This window comes from Homo sapiens, chromosome X (genome assembly GCF_000001405.40).
Source record: "Homo sapiens chromosome X, GRCh38.p14 Primary Assembly".
NCBI lineage: Eukaryota > Metazoa > Chordata > Mammalia > Primates > Hominidae > Homo > Homo sapiens.
The window spans coordinates 153,381,150-153,395,638 of record NC_000023.11 but is presented as its reverse complement, the minus strand read 5'-3'; positions in this window follow the sequence as shown (position 1 = coordinate 153,395,638).

The following is a 14,489-nucleotide window of genomic DNA, read 5'->3' as shown; positions in this document are numbered from 1 at the left end:
GCCGGTCTCGCCTCTGCTGTGGGAAACTAGGGGAGGGGGATTGGCTGGGGATGGGGTGGGCATGGAGGAGAGGAAAAATATTCCTGCCCAGCACCCCTGGGGGACATCTCCAAAAAGAGTGTAAGTGAGAGCACTTTGACCAGCATGCGAGGGCACGACAAGGGCTTTTCTTATATTTTATAGGTGAATTGTCAAGTTTTGGGGTTTCATTCGTCCTTAGATTGTGTTGTCCTGTTCCCTGCAGCTTTTAAAAATGTGTGGGAATGATGCTGGTTGTTTACTCGATTTGGGGGAAGGTGCCACTGGCATTCCGTCCTCAGGGTTCAGGACTTCTGAACGTGGGTCACGTGTTTCTGAGGCCATGCAAGAAAGATCAGTCCTGCCCACAAGGTCAATAGCACCCACAATGAGAAAGCCAGTATTAGAGTTACAGGGGTTTCCTAAAACCCCCAAATGTTTTAAAACTTGAGATATCCTAAAACTTGAAAATGTCACTATGGAACAATAATGAGCAACTTCAAATCTCTAGAGCCTAGTGGGGCTTCCGGGAGGATGGGTGCAAACATTCATCCGATCTCCACCTGAGACGGGAGATGTGCTATCCAGGAAGAGGAGAGGCAAGGCAGGCGCAGAATGAAGTGGGGACCTGCAGGAGCCCGGGTGCTCTCCGAAGCGGTGACAGGCTGAGAGCTAGAGGCTGCGAGTGGGCAAAGACTGGCAGTCTGTTCAAAGAAAAACTTTAGACGAAATACATTTAATAAAGTTTATTTGAGCATGAAAGGGTTCACGGATCAGGCAGCACTGGTGATGGGGAGTTCAGAGAGCTGTGCTGCAGCCGCGTAAAGAGCGGGAGGAGGAATGTGGAGGCAGAGAAAGGAGCTCCTGAATCGGCTGCAGTGAGGCGTTTGCCTCACTTGGGTGTGATACAGTGGGTGGTCCCTAGTTAGAGGTTAGATGGCAGTTTCTCCTTGGCCAAACTTGTGTTTTGCTTTACTGTTTACGTTGGGCTTAAGTTTGCTTGTGTAGGAATCCAGGGCATGGGAGCTGTCCCAGCCTTTTGATCTAATTACATTTCTTTTTAACTAGGTCAAGGGCGTGGCACATAACCTGGCCCCCAGAAGGGCTGGAGCTTGGCATTTTTGTGCTGAAAATTGAGGAAATAGGGTGCAGAGGAAGAGACTGTTTGGGGTCCTGTGGAGATGGGGAGGAGTCAGGTTTAATTCTCAGGGCAGTAGGATGCTGTTGGCTGATTTAGGCCTCTCACAAGGAGCAGAAAATGCCAAGTCTGTATTCTCCCAGCTTCTCCTGCAGCGAGGGCTTTGGTGCATGACCTGGGCTCCACCAATCAAATGCACCCACTGCCCACTGAGTCTGAGGCCCAAGGTGGGAAGAAGCAGGGGCCACAGATTCAGTGGATCAGTGGTGGCTGCATTAGGCCACTCTTGCATGGCCATAAGGAAATACCTGAGACTGGGTAATTTATAAAGAAAAGAGGTTTAAATGCGGGCTGTACAGGAAGCATGGTACAAGCATTTGCTTCTGGGGAGGCCTCAGGAAGCTTTTACTCACGGTGGAAGGGGGAGAGGGAGCAGGCACTTCACATGGTGAAAACAGGAGCGAGCAAGCGAGCGTGCCAGACACACACACACAGAGACAGAGAGAGAGAGGCAGAGAGAGAGAGAGTGGCAGAGAGAGACAGAGAGTGCGCGAGAGAGTGAGCAGGGGAGGAGGTGCCACACACTTTTAACTGACCAGATCTTGTGAATTCGGAGCTAAACCTCACTCATCAGCAAGGGGATAGTCCAAGCCATTCATGAGGGAACTGTCCCCATGACCCAAACACCTCCCACCAGGCCCCACCTCCAACATTGGGGATTACAATTCCACATGAGATTTGGGCGGGGACAAATATCCAAACTATATGACCATGGTTCTCATGGCAGCACCCTGAGTCCCACAGTGTCTGTGCCCACTCAGTTGTGGGTGGGAGCCACAGGGGAGGCCTCCCCTGCTCAGCACTCCTGGGATTTGGAACCTCGTTCCTCTCTGCAAAGCCTCCTAGCCCGGTTCTCCAGCCCTCCCCAGACCAATCATGGGATAGTGCCGTAGGCCTGGCAGTTCTTCTGGACCCGCTGTTGCTGGCTACCCAGAATGCAGCGGCCCTTCCTCTTAGTTCTCTTAGGGATTTTGAGAGAATCCCTCACTGTTTGCAATTTTGGTGGCAAGTAGGGCCCTGTCACACCATTAAACGCACAGGGACCAGCTCTTTTCTTTCTGCCTGGGCCCAGCTATGGGGTGGGCATGTGACTTGGGCTTGGCTAATCAAATGCCTTGTCCTGGGTCTCTGAATCTGAACCTGAGGTGCCTGGACAGGGGTGGCTGGAGGCCTGGACCCAGGTGGTGGCGGCAGCATGCTGGCTGGCCTGCCCCTGCTCTTGGCCTATGCTCTGGTTTTGGAATCCCTGGGGAAATTCCAGCGTTCCAAACCCGGTTCCTGGTCTCCTGCCCTTTCCATAAGCCTCTAGGAGCCAGATGAGTAGTCCTCACTGTGCCTGAGAGAGCTACAGGCTGTCCCGGTGCAAGCTGGTCACTGACTGGCGCATGCTGCCCGCTCTCTTGGCCGCCATGTGGTCCTTTCGAGGCAGCTGCCTTCCCTCAACTCTGCTAAATCCTCAGCACCAGCTCAAAGTATCCCCTAGGTGGGAGCAGCTGGAGGGCAGGGGTGTGTCTTGCTCACCCCTGTGTTGGGCATGGCCAGAGAGGGGCGGGGGGCAGCGGTTCCTCGGGGAGTTTTTGTAGGTGACTCTACTGGCTCAGGCTGACCCTATCCGAGCACACTCGCACTGACATTCACAGCCCCTCCTGGGCAGTCCCACGTGACCAAGCCCCCAACTCTCTTCAAATGAAGAAGCTCCTCACACGTCCCAACTGGGGCCATCGTGTTCCATGAGCCCCAGAGAGTGGTCAGCCAGTGAGTAAGTCTGGGGGTGGCCTGCATGTAGCAACACAGCCAATGGTGAGTTCTCCGTTTTCAGGTCTGGGGCTCCACCCGTGCCCGAGTTCTCCGTTTCAGAGGAAAGAAAGCAACTCAACGTCTCTGGCTCCCTCCCACTTTCCTCTGCCACTGCCCTGGAAGGGCCATAGACACTCCATGTCCACCATGGACTGCAGAGCTGCTGCCCACCTGTGACCTGGTGGAGGCAGGGTGCCGGTGCTGAGGCCCTTTGGGTGGGCAGGTCTGGGGGAAGCTCTCGGAGCTGAAGGTGAGGGCCTTGGGGAGCCCCCAATCCAGTGTAAGCCCTGCTGGAGAAGGCTTCCCAGCCCCAGTTAGAGTTGGGTCCTTCCCACAGACACTGCTGCCAGCTAGGTGGCACCAGTCAATGGGAAGGGGGCGTCTGGCAATGCTTCAGTGGTGGGGGTGGGGGTGTAGGAGTGGCTGTGCTGTGTGAGTGTGCATGGTGTGTGAGTGTGTGTGGTGTGCGAGTGTGCGTGGTGTGTGAGTGCATGGTGTGCGAGTGTGTGGTGTGCATGGTGTGTGTGGTGTGCATGGTGTGTGAGTGTGTGGTGTGTGAGTGTGCATGGTGTGTGAGTGCATGGTGTGCGAGTGTGGTGTGCATGGTGTGTGTGGTGTGCATGGTGTGCATGGTGTGTGTGTGTGGTGTGTGAGTGCATGTGGTGTGCATGGTGTGTGTGTGGTGTGTGTGTGTGGTGTGCATGGTGTGTGTGGTGTGTGTGTGGTGTGCATGGTGTGTGTGGTGTGTGTGCATGGTGTGCATGGTGAGTGTGGTGTGTGTGTGGTGTGCATGGTGTGTGTGGTGTGTGTGGTGTGCATAGTGTGTGTGGTGTGTATGTGTGGTGTGTGTGGTGTGAGTGTGTGTGGTGTAAATGGTGTGCGTGGTGTGTGAGTGTGCATGGTGTGCATGGTGTGCGTGGTGTGTGAGTGTGCATGGTGTGCATGGTGTGTGAGTGTGCGTGGTGTGCATGGTGTGCGTGGTGTGTGTGTGCGTGGTGTGCATGGTGTGTGGTGTGTGCGTGGTGTGCATGGTGTGTGTGGTGTGTGTGTGTGGTGTGCGTGGTGTGTGTGGTGTGTGTGCATGGTGTGCATGGTGTGTGTGGTGTGTGTGCATGGTGTGCATGGTGTGTGTGGTGTGTGTGGTGTGCATGGTGTGTGAGTGTGTGTGGTGGGCATGGTGTGCGTGGTGTGTGAATGTGTGTGGTGTAAATGGTGTGCGTGGTGTGTGAGTGTGCATGGTGTGCATGGTGTGTGTGGTGTGTGAGTGTGCGTGGTGTGCATGGTGTGCATGGTGTGTGAGTGTGCGTGGTGTGCATGGTGTGTGTGGTGTGTGAGTGTGCGTGGTGTGCATGGTGTGTGGTGTGTGTGCATGGTGTGCATGGTGTGTGTGGTGTGTGGTGTGTGTGTGGTGTGCATGGTGTGTGTGGTGTGTGAGTGTGTGTGGTGTGCATGGTGTGTGTGGTGTGTGTGCATGGTGTGCATGGTGTGTGTGAGTGTGTGTGGTGTGCATGGTGTGCATGGTGTGTATGTGTGGTGTGTGTGTGGTGTGCATGGTGTGTGTGGTGTGTGAGTATGTGTGGTGTGTGTGTGGTGTGCATGGTGTACGTGGTGTGTGTGTGCATGGTGTGCATGGTGTGTGAGTGTGCGTGGTGTGTGTGGTGTGTGTGTGCGTGGTGTGCATGGTGTGTGTGGTGTGCGAGTGTGCATGGTGTGCGTGGTGTGCATGGTGTGTGAGTGTGTGTGGTGTGCATGGTGTGTGTGGTGTGTATGTGTGGTGTGTGTGTGCATGGTGTGTGTGTGGTGTGTGTGTGCGTGGTGTGCATGGTGTGTGTGTGGTGTGTGTGCGTGGTGTGCATGGTGTGTGTGTGGTGTGTGTGCGTGGTGTGCATGGTGTGTGTGGTGTGTGAGTGTGCGTGGTGTGCATGTTGTGTGTGGTGTGTGTGTGCGTGGTGTGCATGTTGTGTGTGGTGTGTGTGTGTGTGGTGTGCGTGGTGTGCGTGGTGTGTGTGGTGTGTGAGTGTGCATGGTGTGCATGGTGTGTGGTGTGTGTGCGTGGTGTGCATGGTGTGTGTGGTGTGTGTGTGGTGTGCATGGTGTGTGGTGTGTGTGTGGTGTGCATGGTGTGTGGTGTGTGTGCATGGTGTGCATGGTGTGTGTGAGTGTGTGTTGTGTGCATGGTGTGTGTGGTGTGTGTGTGGTGTGTGTGTGGTGTGCATGGTGTGCGTGGTGTGTGAGTGTGCATGGTGTGCATGGTGTGTGTGGTGTGTGAGTGTGCGTGGTGTGCATGGTGTGTGTGGTGTGTGAGTGTGCATGGTGTGCATGGTGTGCGTGGTGTGTGAGTGTGTGTGGTGTGCATGGTGTGTGTGGTATGTGTGGTGTGTGTGGTGTGTGTGTGCGTGGTGTGCATGGTGTGTGTGGTGTGTGAGTGTGCGTGGTGTGCATGGTGTGTGTGGTGTGTGAGTGTGCGTGGTGTGCATGGTGTGTGGTGTGTGAGTGCGTGGTGTGCATGGTGTGTGTGGTGTGTGAGTGTGCGTGGTGTGCATGGTGTGCGTGGTGTGCATGGTGTGTGTGGTGTGTGTGTGCGCGGTGTGCATGGTGTGTGAGTGTGCGTGGTGTGCATGGTGTGTGTGGTGTGTGTGTGCGTGGTGTGCATGGTGTGCGTGGTGTGTGAGTGTGCGTGGTGTGTGTGGTGTGTGAGTGCGTGGTGTGCATGGTGTGTGGTGTGTGTGCGTGGTGTGCATGGTGTGTGTGGTGTGTGTGTGGTGTGCATGGTGTGTGTGGTGTGTGAGTGTGTGTGGTGTGCATGGTGTGTGTTGTGTGTGCATGGTGTGCATGGTGTGTGTGAGTGTGTGTTGTGTGCATGGTGTGTGTGGTGTGTATGTGTGGTGTGTGTGTGTGGTGTGCATGGTGTGCGTGGTGTGTGAGTGTGCATGGTGTGCATGGTGTGTGTGTGGTGTGTGAGTGTGCGTGGTGTGCATGGTGTGTGGTGTGTGAGTGTGTGTGGTGTGCATGGTGTGTGTGGTGTGTATGTGTGGTGTGTGTGGTGTGTGTGTGCGTGGTGTGCATGGTGTGTGAGTGTGCGTGGTGTGCATGGTGTGTGTGGTGTGTGAGTGCGTGGTGTGCATGGTGTGTGGTGTGTGAGTGTGCGTGGTGTGCATGGTGTGTGTGGTGTGTGAGTGTGCGTGGTGTGCATGGTGTGTGGTGTGTGTGCGTGGTGTGCATGGTGTGTGTGGTGTGTGAGTGTGTGTGGTGTGCATGGTGTGTGTGGTGTGTGAGTGTGTGTGGTATGCATGGTGTGTGTGGTGTGTGTGTGGTGTGTGAGTGTGTGTGGTGTGTGAGTGTGCATGCTTTGCAGTGTGTGTTGGGCAGGGCGGCTTTTCTCTCAGCTGGTCTCATCTTCTCTGACAGGAGCTGGAGACTTCCAGTGGCTTCCCTCTCGCCCACCAACCACAGCAAGGGCATGAGGGCCACCTCCAGCCCAGGGCGGCATGCCTCCCTTGCAAAGCTCAGCCAACTGGGGGGCACAGCAGGCTGGCTGCTGGGGGGTGCTCTGTCACCAATTCCCCACCCTGCTGCCCCTGCCCGAAGCTTCTGGGACATGAGTAAAACACCAGAAGCTTTGAGGGACGAAGTGAGAGCTTTCTCCACAGGCCTCGATGGCACCATTCACATTTCCTTCTCAGTCTCCATGCTGTGCTCCCCGTCTAGACTTGAGGTCCAAATGCATGTTGGCCTGGCCCCTTCCTGCACCCGCCTGCAGCCCCTGCACCCCACCCACCCACCCTGTCCACCGCGAGTGTCAGGTCCCAGAGCTGACGCAGGCCAAGGGCCACAGCTTAGAGAGGGTAAAGCACCTTGCTGCACAGTGGACAGCCTCCCTCAAAGCCCAGTACACTCTGCCCGGCTCCTGTCTGTGGAGGGGGAGATGGTATTCAGCAGAGGGGCATTGGGTCCCCGCTGTGGAGAGACTGCTTGGTGAGTGACTTGGTGCCTGCTTCTTGGGGCATTCGGGAACTGGCCTCGAGCAGCTCCTCCAGAGGGATTTGGTGTGGAAGCCTGAGTATTACTGAGAGGCCACCCTGGGCTTTGGGGTACAAGTCCACTGGAGAAGGGCTACAGAGACCCTCCTGGCAGCCATCTACCCAGGGAGCCAAAGATTTCTGGGTGAGCAGGGGCTCAGGGCTCAGGGCTCAGGGCTCAGGGTGGCCAGGAAGGAAATGCTTGGTGAGCCGTGGCTGAGCCTGGCAGCCTCCTGTCGCCTCACTGGGCACCTTGTAGGACCCAAAGCCCATGTCTCCATGTCTTTTGAAGGTTTGGGGCTGGAGAAGCTGCCAAAGCCCTGCTCCCAGGCAGGACAGGCCCCAGAATCGTTGTGTAAGTGCACAGCTGTCTTGCTGGCTTTGCTCCCAATGGCCTGGGCATGGGCCGCTCCCCGCTCAGTGGCTCCCCAGGAACTCTGGATCCTCTTTGGGTAGAGGGGCATTAGGTTCGGCTGAGCAGTGCAGGTGGCACACCTGGCAAAGCAGGGTGTGGGGGCTTGGGGAACCTCTGAAGAAGGCTGATGTCCCCAGCTGCACATACAGAGGGGCCAGCAAGGGTCAATTGTGCGGCATCCCCTGGGCTGCAGTGGCACAAGTCTTCTCAGAATGCCCTGTCCTTTATGGTCTCAGGTTAGGGTTGGGCACAGGAGAAATTTGCTTGAGATTTGGAAAGAAGAAATGAAGCCGAAGCTGTTTTTCCTTTAAACGCCCAGGAGGTTGTGGTAGGCCGGGAGCCATAGCAGACCCTCCGGGGCCTTCATCTGCTGCCCCCACCACACCCCTGCTTTCCACTTCTTCCGGCATGGGGTGGGCATGACTCCTGCTGGTCCCTGGTTGTGAAGGTTTGAGGTGCTCCACCTCGGCTCTGTGATGACTGTGATCCCACAGGTGGGAGTTCTTCTTGGGACTAAACCTTAACCAGCACACCACAGGCCTGGGCTGGAGTCAAGCTTGTTCCCAGAGCACCTTCATCCACTCTACCTGCAGGGCCCTCCTGCCCTGGCCTACCCGGCCTGGCCCCCTCTCCCAGCCTGGGACTCCTCACCCTCCCTGCTCTGCTCTGTCCTCCTGGGACTCCTGAGAGATGCTTGCAGTCAGGGCACCCGCTCTCCTTGCCTGCGGACCTCACTGCCTTGGCCTTTCAGGAGTTACTCCAGGCCACATCCTCTTTAACGTTTTCCCAAGTGGATTGAAGGTCCTTGATCCAATGTCCCAGGTCACAGTTTAAGAAACAGTCCAGAGTTGCCTGAAAAGCCTCATCTTGCCAGCTGAGATAGGCTGGGTCTTCCTGGCCTGGAGTAGCCTTCAAGCAGGAGCTACAGATGCCCCCTCCCCAGTCCAGAGCTCCTGGAAGTTTGCCTCCCAGTGACTGACATGGTCTGGGAACAGATGGAGCTGAGCACTATATATTATATATGGGCATGGCCTATGATGTTATCTGCTTGCAAAAGATACAGACTAAAGAAACAACATTCCTTCATGGTCTTGGCACTTTTCTTTTTTAGTTATACAGAAAAATGATGGGCTGGCCTTGCTTCAAATACAACTTCAAAGAGAAAAATACCATTGAAAACTGCTACAATCTCAGACCACAAATTAGCCAGAGGCCCAGCCGCACATTGCTAAGTCTGGACAGGGAGTAGAGAACAAGCCGAGCCGAGCCGGCAATGCCTCCTCAGAACTGAGGCAGAAATCAGATCGCCCCCAAGCTAAGGGTCACTGTCCCCAAAGTAATAGAACACTTGAAAACAAATCTCTGACTAGATTAATGAAATTGAAGGCCACAGGCCACTGGTGTGGCAGAACATCCCGGTCAGATGATGCGGACGAGGGAGACGATGGGAAGATGCTGGTGAAATCCAGTGCCTTTGCAAACCAATGCGGGTTGTACACATACGTTGGCAACAGCGACAACGGCAAAAACAATAGGTGGAAGGGAGAGCTAAGAGCAGATGAAAACCACAAGGAGGAATTACGAGAAAACGCAGAAAGCCCCCAGACAAAAAAAAAAAATGCTCCATAGACTCAGAGAAAGTCCTGAAAACATGACTCTCAGAACAAAAGACACAGCTTAAAGGAGAGATGCAGTGCTCAGAGAAGAGATGACAAGAAAACAGAAGGAAATAAAATGAAGGTCGCAGAGCTCAGGGAAAAGAATGGAAGAAAAGAATAAAAATATTACCAGGATGAAAATCCCATGCAAAGCAATGACAATTTCAGGAAACTAAACCACAGACATACTGGTCATCTGGGGACTTCGTGGCAAGACTTGAAGAAGTCACATGACACAAAGCGGAAGAGAGACTATGGAAGATAGAAAAATAGACACTGCGTACATAGCATGATATTCCTGAAAAACAGCACAAATAAACCAAATAAAACAGACTTGGAAAGAATCATGTTGGCTTTAGACTTCTCTAGATCAGTTCTTAATGCCAGAAGACAGTGGGGCAAGGTTTACCAACTTCGAAGTTTGTCTGAAGTTTACAAACTTCGGTTTGCTTCAATAATGTTATAGCCATCCAAAAAACAAAAAGGACAATAAAATTGAGCCAATTAAAAGATGTAATAAAAAAAGAACTCAGAAATGCAGGAACAATTGCGAACATTGAATCCATTTATATACAGATCAAATATTAAACAAGTGTGGAATTACGCATTGGTGCCTCCTATAGAATTTAAAGGTGAGAAACCTTGACATTAGAAAATTAACAAAGATCCCAGGTGAAGGACTGAGGCTGAGGAGAGATGTCTTCATCTGTTACAGCAAGGAATCGTCAGGCACTGTGTTAGAACATGCAATTATTATTATTATTATTTTTATTTTTATTATTACTATTATTTTTTGAGACAGAGTCTCGCTCTGTCGCCCAGGCTGGAGTGCAGTGGCACAATCTCAGCTCACTGCAACCTCCACTTCCTGGATTCAAGCGATTCTTCTGCCTCAGCCTCCTGAGTAGCTGCGACTACAGGCGCGTGCCACCATGCCCAGCTAATTTTTTGTATTTTTAGTAGAGACCAGGTTTTACTGTGTTAGCCAGGGTGGTCTCGATCTCCTGACTTCATGATCCGCCCGCTTCAGCCTCCCAAAGTGCTGGGATTACAGGCATGAGCCACTGTGCCCGGCCAGAACATGCAATTATTATAAACAGAATATTTCAAATAGCTTAGCATTTTTCATAGTTTTATTCCTTTAGTGGGATTTTTTTTTTTGGGAACTAATACTTGTGAAGAAACATTTATTACAAGTTCAACAATCCTTTCAGCTTTATTTCAGTTTGTTTTCTTTTTAAAATTTTTTGAGCTGGGGTCTCACTCTGTTGCCCAGGCTGGAGTGCAGTGGTGCAACCACGGCTCACTGCAACCTTGACCTCCTGGGCTCAAGTGATCCTCCCACCTCAACCTGCTGAGTAGCTGGATCTGCAGGTGCATGCCACCGTGCCCAGCTCATTTTTGTATTTTTTGTAGAGACAAGGGTCTCACTATGTTGCCCAGGCTGGTCTCAAACTCCTTGGCTCAAGTTATCCTCCCACCTCTGCCTCCCTAGGTGCTGGGATTACAGATGTGAGCTACCACACCAGGCCCTCAGTGTTAACAAATAAGATGAGTATACTACTTTTGATTAAACACAATGTATAGACATATAATGATCCCATTTTTGTTGAGATGGGTCATATACATACCACAAAATTCATCTTTTCCAAGTGCACAATTCAGTGGTATTTAATATGTTCACAGAGTTGTGCAACCATCACTACTATCTACCCCCAGAACGTTTCTGTCACCCTAAAGGAGACCCTGTCCACATCGGCAGTCACTCCCCACTCCTCCCAGCCCCAGCCCTTGGCAACGACTTATTTGTTTCCATCTCTGTGGATTGGTCTCTTCTGGACATATCATACAAATAGAATCACAATATGCGGCCTTTTGTGTCTGGCTTCTTTCACTGAGCACACTGGATGACCCCATTTTGGGGAAATTGTTCTGCCACCCACCAGTTCCTTCATCAGCCCGTCTTTCACAGTCCTGGGTCTGGGGTGATGTTCATGGTGGCATTCTAGGTGCTGCGATGTGGGGTGGACACAATGCTGCCCTGAACTTTTCTGTGGTGCTCGGCCTTCCCTAGCAAGCCTGCCCTCTCTCTCCTGCTTTCCTTGCTAGTTGGCTCATGGTGGTCTCTCTCTGCTTCTCAGTTATTGATTCAAGGAGTATTTGCTGTGCTCCTCCTGCGTGCGAGTGAGTGGGGCTACGGGCCTGGTCTGAGGAGGTGGCAGGCAGTGTGGAGAGGAGTGGTGGATGGGTTGGGGGCTGCTGAGGGGCCCAGATAGCAGGAGTTCATGAGTAATGAGCGAGGTGCCTGGTGGGGTGGGGGTTTCTGGATGACGCTGAGGGGTTCAGCCTGGGCTGCTGGCATGGAAGAACCCATGGTGAGCGGGGGGATGAGCAAGACATTGGACTGGAAGTCAACCAGGTACAGCACCACCTTTCCCCCTGTGGGCAGCCTCTGCCAGGGCGCAGACCTCGCCTTGACAGCCTTCTCCTCTGGGTTCGGTCTCTCACTTCCGCCATCATGCTGGGAGAGCGTTGAGGGAGTGAATGCCTTATAAGGGGAGAGAAATGGACTCCAGGCTCCAGATGCTACTCTCGTGTCAGTCTGCCCCTGGCATGGGGTGCATGTGTGCCTGTGTGTGTGTGTGTGGTGTGTCTGGTGTGTGTGTATTCACGTGGGGGGTCTGTGTGGTGTGTGGTGTGTGTTCATGTGTGTGCTGTGTTCATGTGTGGTGCATGTGTTCATGTGTGGGTGTGGTTGTGGTGTGTTTGTTCATATATCGTGTGTGTGTGTTCATGTGGGGTGTGTGGTGTGTGTTCATGTGTGGTGTGTGTGTGATCTGTGTGTTCATGTGTGGTGTGTGTATTCATGTGTGGTGTGTGTGTTCATGTGTGGTTTGTGTGTTCATGTGGGGTGTGTGTGGTGTATGTGGGGTGTGTGGTGTGTGTGTGGTGTGGGCTGTATAGGGGGTGCAGGCTGTGGGGCGTGTGAGTTTTCATGTGTGGGGTTGTGTAATGTGTGTGTTCATGAGTAGGGTGTGTCTGTGTGTGTTCATGTGTAGTGTGTGTAGGGTGTGTGTGGTCTGTGTGGTGTGTGTGGGGTGTGATGTGTGTTCACATGTGGTGTGTTTGTGTTCATGTGTGGTGTGTGTTGGCTGTGTGGAGTGTTTTCCATGTGTGTTGTGTGTTTTCATGTGGGGATGCATGTGGGGTGTGTGTAGTGTATGTGTTCATGTGGGGTGTGTGTGTTCATGTGTGGAGGTTGTGTGATATGTGTGTTCATGTGTAGGGTGTGTGTCTTCATGTGTGGTGTGTGGGGGTGTGTGTGTGGTCTATGTGATGTGTGTGTTTGTGTGTGGTGTATTTGTGTTCATGTGTGGTGTGGGTTGTGTGGGGTGTGTTTTCGTGTGTGGTGTATGTGGTGTGTGTGTTCAAGTGAGGTGTGTGTGGTGTGTGTGTTCATGCAGGGAACTGTGTGTGGTGTGTGTTCATGTGTGGCATGTGGGGTGTATGTGTTCATGTGTGGTGTGCAGGGTGTGTGTTCATGTGTGGTGTGTGCGTGTTCATGTGTAGGGTGTGTGTGTTCATATGGGACTATGTGGAGGGTGTGTTCATGTGGGGTATGTGAGGTATATGGTATGTGTGTTCATATGGGGGGTGTGTGTGTTCATGTGGGGAGTGTATGTAGTGTGTATGTGTTCATGTGTGCTGTGTGTGTGTTCATGTGTGGTGTATTTATGTGGGGTGTGTGGGGTGTGTGTTCATGTGTGTGGTCCATGTGGTATGTGGTGTATGGTGTGTGTTCATGTGTGGTGTGTGTGATGTGTGTGTGTTCATATGTGGTGTGTGTTCATGTGTGATGTGTGTAGTGTGTGTTCATGTGAGGTGTGTGGCATGTGTTCATGTGTGGGATGTACGTGGTGTGTGCTGTGTGTGGTCTGTGTGGTGTGTGTGTTCATGTGTGGTGTGTTTGTGTGTTCATGTGTGGTGTGTGTGGGGTGTATGGTGTGTGTGTTTGTGTGTGGGGAATTTGGGGGGTTTGTGGTGCATGTATTTGCAGAGCTTCCCATAGATGGAGCCAGGCAACCAACATTTCCCAGAGGTGGGTGATGCCCTCCCACAGTGCCACACCTCCCCAGTCCTGGAACTGCATTGGGTGACAGAGACTGGGCAAGAGGCCAGAAGCCTGGCCCCCTCCCCAGCAGCTCTCACACAGCAGCTGCAGAGGCTCACCCTAGCCTGTGACTTTCTGATGTTTCCCCCTTTCTGTCTGTCCCTGGCTCTGTCCTGCCTCTCTGTCTGTGTCACACACAGAGACAGCAGAGGGGCCTCCAAGGAAAGCTGAGACCCCGCTGGGTACAAGGTAACACTGTGTGGCTTCCAAGCAAAGCCAAGAATTATCTAGCCCTTCCTGTTCTCGGAACTGTGCTGTTTCCTAGACAACGTATTTTGTGTAATCATGGTCAAGGCAACGTACATTTCTGCCCAGAATCAAGGTCACAGTATAATACTGATTCACCACGGCAACAGCAGACTACTCATCTGACATGGGAGATGAGATTTGCGATGAAAACCACATGCAGATTGCTAGTTGCCCAGCGACTCTGCACCACGAAATAGGTTTGACTCCAGTGGAATCTGGAATCATGTCCTTAAAAGACACAGAGCCCCTGGTAGTTCAACATATGTAACTGGCCAGCCAGAGCCAGCCAGGCACATGGCGCCACTGGTAGACAAACGTGCACATGACAGGAGCCTTTCCACCTGCCCTGGCTTCAGGAGTTTAGCTCAGTCCACAAATCCACGCCAGGAGCATTTCCCTATATAAACAAGCCCTGCGATGCTCCTAGTCCATCTGAGCTCACTGTGGACCAAGAAAGGCGAATGGTAGTTCTAGAAGAAAATCTTGTCATTTAGGATTTGATCTTTTTCCTAATTTCTCAGCCCAAGATCAACTGTTGGTGACCCCCTAGCTCTCACACCTCTCTTCTCTGGCCCCCTGAAATCAGAGAGAGGCAGCAGGGCCTCCTCTATTTCAGTAAGCTTGGGCTTGGGGCCATTATGCGGTCTGTGGGTCTGAGTCCCCAAGGCCTCTGGCTTGGGCTGAAGGAGAGAAGTAGGAACTGGGGCCCTCCAGCCTGTGGGGTGAGGTCTTCATGAAGGTGAATAGCTGAACCGTCTCCCCTGGGACTCCTCCAACCCCACTGTTGCTTCCCAGGAGAAAAGGCCTTTGGTGCCTGTCTGAGGCCTTGAAAGTCAGTTTTAAGTCCACCTCCCAGACAATGGCAGGTGATGGGTCTCTGGGGGGCCCAGCTGCATTGTATTCACGTCACCAGTATCCAGCCAGAAAGGAGGCCGAGATCACCTGGGGAGGTCACCCTCACCTT